The sequence below is a fragment of the Homo sapiens genome, chromosome 17 (genome assembly GCF_000001405.40).
Source record: "Homo sapiens chromosome 17, GRCh38.p14 Primary Assembly".
Lineage (NCBI taxonomy): Eukaryota > Metazoa > Chordata > Mammalia > Primates > Hominidae > Homo > Homo sapiens.
This window is the reverse complement of record NC_000017.11, coordinates 42,148,589-42,154,399: the sequence shown is the minus strand read 5'-3', so window position 1 is coordinate 42,154,399 and position 5,811 is coordinate 42,148,589. Positions and strand designations below refer to the sequence as shown.

At 48.7% G+C, this 5,811-nt stretch overlaps 1 protein-coding gene across 3 annotated transcripts in view; it reads left to right on the top strand.

The window, feature by feature from the left end:
• RAB5C (RAB5C, member RAS oncogene family) overlaps window positions 1-5,811 on the top strand; it is a 30,011-nt gene that overhangs the window by 590 nt on the left and 23,610 nt on the right. The gene's annotated exons all lie outside the window — the stretch shown is intronic.

The following is a 5,811-nucleotide window of genomic DNA, read 5'->3' as shown; positions in this document are numbered from 1 at the left end:
CCCGCAACTCCTTACTTCCTCTCTTTCCTCAAGCCAGAGAACCAACCAGGACCTCAGCTGAGTTTAAAGTCACTTACTAGAAATGAGCTGTTTTCCTGTTTTGCCCCTTCTGTCTCCCAGCCCTGTCCTCTAGTTATGTTGTTCTTTGAGTGTCTCTCTCTTTCTGCCTCTGAAGAATTTAGCTGAGGTTTGCTCAATCCTAGCTACAGATCACAGATCAGGGTGGATGTGCCCATTCATTATCTTCTTTCCCCTCCCCCCTTGCTCCAGGCTCAGCTCTGTCCTCCCAGAGCACGTGAGTGGTTTCCCAGCCGCCTCAAAGGGACTGCTTTTCTTGGGACTGCTGTCCGTGTGTCTATAGGGAGGAGAATAAGACCCAAAATGAGGAGTCTGGAATTGAAGGGCCATCTCTTTCCCACTCCCAAACACACACACATACACCTCCCTGAGCAACAGGTCCACACCACGCCAGGGTCTGTCTGCAATCCCTTCAGGGCTTGGACTTATTACTGAGGACTAAGTCAAGATCACAATGGCAGTTCTGGATTTTTAATTGTAGCCTGAGGAATTCCGATACATGCCAGAAAGTGCAGGTTCCCTCAACCATATTGACTGATCCTTGTCTGTTGCTTGGGGCTTAGGTGTGTGAAATAGCTGCTGTCTCAGACCAAGCTTTGTTATGTGGCCAAAGTACAGGCCGGAGACTGTACCTTAACGAGGAGTAGCCTGGCTCTGAGGCCATGACTGACCCTTGCTATCTACAGTGGAGGAAGGGACGGAAAGCCGTGCAGTTTGTGGGAACTTCTGTAGCTCTTCAGTGTTCTGGGCTACCTTTACCACCCTCGCTTGCCACTTAAAAGTGCTGTGTTTTTTGGCCTTGAGGTGTGTTTGAGGGCTTCTGGACAGTGGCTAGTATCTGATTCCTACAGTCTTTTGAGTAGAGCTAGGATGTACTTTCTTCACTTTTTTGTTTGTTTGTTTTTGAGATGGAGTCTTGCTCTGTCGCCCAGGCTGGAGTGCAGTGGCGTGATCTTGGCTCACTGCAACCTCTGCCTCCTGGGTTCAAGCAGTTCTCTTGCCTCAGCCTCCTGAGTAGCTGGGATTAACAGGCGCCTGCCACCACACCCGGCTAATTTTTGTATTTTTAGTAGAGATGGGGTTTCGCCATGTTGGCCGGGCTGGTCTCGAACTCCTGACTTCAGGTGATCCACCCGCCTCAGCCTCCCAAAGTGCTGAGATTACAGGTGTGAACCACCGTGCCCGGCCTACTTATTTCACTTTTTATCGGACAACAGAAGAAGCCTTCCTTATTAGGGTCAACAGCTGGATCACAGGCTCTGTATCTGTGTGGGTTCCTTTGGGGTTCATTGGAGACTTCTTCAACCAACCTAGTTTCTCTGATCTGGTCAGCCTGGGCATCTGAGGGGCAGGGCCAGAGAGGCCTGACTGCTCACTGGCCATTGGTCTCTGACCAGACTTAGGTCTTCAGGAGTAGACCGCAGTTTGTCACTCTTCAGGAGTGCTGGGATGAGGCCGACCAGCCTTCTGAGGAGACCTTCTTTTCTTTGTCTGGACATGCTCTCCCAGCTCTGACTCTGAAACGACTTTTTTTTTTTTTTTGGAGACAGAGCCTTGTTTTGTCACCCAGGCTGGAGTGCAGTGGCACAATCTTGGCTCACTGCAGCCTCTGCCTCCCGAGATCAAGGGATTCTCCTGCCTCAGCCTCCTGAGTAGCTGAGATTACAGCCATGCACCACCACGCCCAGCTAATTTTTGTATTTTTAGTAGAGATGGGGTCTCACCATGTTGGCCAGGCTGGTCTCGAACTCCTGACCTCAGATGATCCACCCACCTCAGCCTCCCAAAGTGCTAGGATTACAGGCATGAGCCACTGCACCCAACCTGAAACGACTTTGAAGGGGAAGCTCTGCCATTTAGAGAGACGAGGCAGGCCCCAGTGCTTTGGGTCGTTATGCAGCCACTTCTGGCACCTAGAAATTATAGAGTCCAAGCAGAGGTCTGACTCTGCCTGGCAGAGAGAGCGATGGCTCCGTGTGCGACAGAACCCCTCCTTTCTGATGCTGTTCCTCCCCTGCCCTCTTGCCTCTCACAATTAGAGGGCTGTTAAACTGTAGAGGGACAGTAACACTAATTTTTAAAAATCATTTTAAGGTTGCAAAATTATTTTCATACATATTCCTCATAGGTGCCTTGGGAAATAGTGGGGCTTGTTTCCCCACTTTGTTTTTAATTTTTATTATTACTTTTTTTTTTTTGAGTAAGATAAGGCAAGTGTCCCTGCTTTAGAAGGGATGCAGAAGGAACTTAAGTAGTTTGCCTAAGATCGATCATACATTTAGAAAGTAGTAGAGCTGGGGCTTGGATTTGGGGTCAGATGTGACCTGATCTAACAGTGGGCCCTTCTTCGGCCTGGTTTGTTCGTTAAATGAATGAACATGCAGACTGAGTGCGCCACGGCACAAGGGCAGACTCTTAACTCTTTAGCCCTCCTCATCACTAGCGCTCCTCTGTTTTTTTGTCTTCCCCAGCGTCTACCCGACCTCCTGTCTTCTCTCTTGACCCCTTTCACCTCTGCCTCTGAGGACCAAAACAGTTAGGAGTCCCAAGTCAGTACTCTTCAGGGCCTGAGAGTTTGCTGACATCTACATGTCATTAATTTTTCTGGGAACCTGAAAGTCCTAATGGCTAGAAAATGAAAGTTAAAGTGAGTAAACTCAGGGGTCCCACTGGGCAGGGTTAAGGGGGAAGCAACAGAGCGGGCCTCTGGTTAGTCCTCTGTTTCTCCTGTGGTGCTGCCTGCTGCTTGCAAGTGGGAAGAATGTGGCTTGCCACCAGGAGCTCCTGTCACTAGAATTTACATGGAAACAGAGCAAGATCATACATTTAAATTCAGCCCCACCAAGCAAGTACTTCTTAGACCTTCTACTTCTTTTTTTTTTTTTGAGTCGGAGTCTCGCTCTGTCGCCTAGGCTGGAGTGCAGTGGTGCGATCTTGGCTCACTGCAAGCTCCGCCTCCCGGGTTCATGCCATTCTCCTACCTCAGCCTCCAGAGTAGTTGGGACTACAGGTGCCCACCACCACGTCCGGCTAATTGTTTTGTATTTTTAGTAGAGATGGGGTTCCGCCGTGTTAGCCAGGATGGTCTCGATCTCCTGACCTCGTGATCCGCCCACCCTGGCCTCCCAAAGTGCTGGGATTACAGGCGTGAGCCACTGCGCCTGGCCAGACCTTCTACTTCTAACCCTTGCCCAGTAAACAGGCAGTGTGGTCGGGTGGAAGGCACTAGAACTTCAGAGGCAGTTGGACCTGAGTTCTCATCCTGATTCCCCCACTTACCAGTTGTGTGACCCTGGGCTTGTTACTTGACCTCACTGAGCCTGTGTTTCTTCTGGTAAAATGGGGATGCTAAATACCTTGCAGAATTAGAAACAAAGAAAGGAGCTAGTCCAGTGCTGGCAGACTGGATGCCCACAAAATAGCAGTTGCCTCTGATGGGTAGGTAGGGGTTTGAAGGTTCTTTTTTTTTTTGAGGCAGTCTCATTCTCATTCTGTTGCCCAGGCTCACTGCAACCTCCGCCTCCTGTGTTCAAGCGATTCTCCTGCCTCAGCCTCCTGAGTAGCTGGGATTACAGGCACCTGCCATCATGCCCGGCTAATTTTTTTTTTTGGTATTTTTGTAGAGATGGGGTTTGACCATGTTGGCCAGGCTGGTCTCAAACTCCTGACCTCAGGTGAGGTGATCTGCCCGCCTCATCGGCCTCCCAGAGTGCTGGGATTACAAGCATGAGCCACCGTGTCTGGCTGATTTTTTTTTTTTTTTTTTTTTTTTTTTTTGAGATGGAGTTTCACTCTTGTCTCCCAGGCTGGAGTGCAATGGCGTGATCTTGGCTCACTGCAACCTCTGTCTCCCGGGCTCAAGCTATTCTCCTGCCTCAGCCTCCTGAGTAGCTGGGATTATAGGCGTGTGCCACCATGCCCAGCTAATTTTTGTACTTTTAGTAGAGACAGGGTTCCTCTATGTTGGCCAGGCTGGTCTCGATCTCCTGACCTCAGGTAATTGTGCCCAGCCTCAACACTGATTCTGATTCAACATGTGTACCAAATGTATGCTGGGGCTGGGCACAGTGGCTCATGCCTATAATCCTAGCACTTTGGGAGGATCGCTTGATCCCAGGAGTTCAAGACCAGCTTGGGGGCCAGGTGTGGTGGATCACGCCTATAATCCTAGCACTTTGGAAGGCTGAGGCTGGGAGATCACCTGAAGTCAGGAGTTCGAGACCAGCCTGGCCAACATGGTGAAACCCCATCTCTACTAAAAATACCAAAATTAGTCAGGCGTGGTGGCACATGCCTGTAATCCCAGCTACTTGGGAGGCTTAGGCAGGAACCTGGGAGGCAGTTCAACCTGGGAGGTGGACGTTGCAGTGAGCCGAGATTGCACCACTGCACTCCAGCCTGGGCAACAGACCAAGAGTCTATCTCAAAAAAAAAAAAAAAAAAAACCAGCCTGGGCAACATAATGAGACCCCATGTCTAAAACAAAAACAAAATGTCTGCTGGGATGCCTTGTACATTGCTTGATGGTTTCACAAATTGTCTCATTTTGTAGACATTGAACAGAATTGATGTGGGTTGTATTCCCATTTTACAGAAGAGAACGCTGTGCCACTTCAGTTTTACTTAGTTGTAAGCGTTTTAATATTAAAACAGTCCTGTAACTATTATAGATTAGAATGCAAAGTTTGCATGAATTGAAGCTAACACAGGAAACTTTAATTAATTAATTAATTTATTTATTTTTGAGACAGGGCCTCTCTCACCCAGGCTGGAGTGCAGTGGGACGATCATGGCTTACTTCCGCCTTGATCTTGTGGACCCAAGTGATCCTCCCACCTCAGCCTCCTGAGTAGCTGGGACTGTAGGCATGTACCACCATGCCCGGCTAGTTTTTGTATTTTTAGTAGAGACAGGGTTTTGCCATGTTGCCCAGGCTGGTCTCAGAACTCCTGGGCTCAAGTGATCCTCCTACTTTGGCCTCCCGAAGTGCTGGGATTACAGGCATGAGCCGCTGCACCTGGCCAAAGACAGTATTTTGCTTGTAGCCAGCTGCTTTGGGTTCAACTCCCAGATTTCTGGGAGTTTCCTCTCCCCTGACTTGAGTGAAGGGTACATATGTTGGGGCTGTTTGAGAAGCACTGCTTTAGGTAGAATTTATAAACTAGGATGTGCCAAAATCCAGGTAATCATGCTTGCAAAAACCTTGGCAGAGGAGAATCGGAATATTTTTGGCATCCTCTGCATTAATAGCTTGGTATTGTAAGAGATTACTTTTCCAATTAAATAGCCCCATCCTCTATGTATAAGAACAGTAATACAAATAAAAGCTAAACTTCTATTTTTGCCATGTGCCAGGCACTCTTGTGAGCCCTATGTGTTGACTCCTTTAATCCTCCGACAACCCCAGGAGGTAGGTTCTGTGTTTAATCCCCATGTTAGAGTGGGGGACTATGTAGTAATGGCAGAGATGGGGTGTGCTCTTATCGCTATTCAATACAGCCTCTCCTTGACCCATCTCTGGGCTAAATGCCTACTGTTCACTTTGCCTAGAAGGCTCTTCTGCACCTCACGTGCCTGGAAACTGTATCTCCCTACTTTTCTCTCAAAGCTCAGTTTGAATGCCACTTCCTCTGTGAAGCCTTCCCTTGCCCCAAATGGGCTGAGGGCTTGTCTCCTACATGGGCTGTCTTCTCAACTGCTATCTCATTGTTCCTTATTTGCCTCATTCTCTGG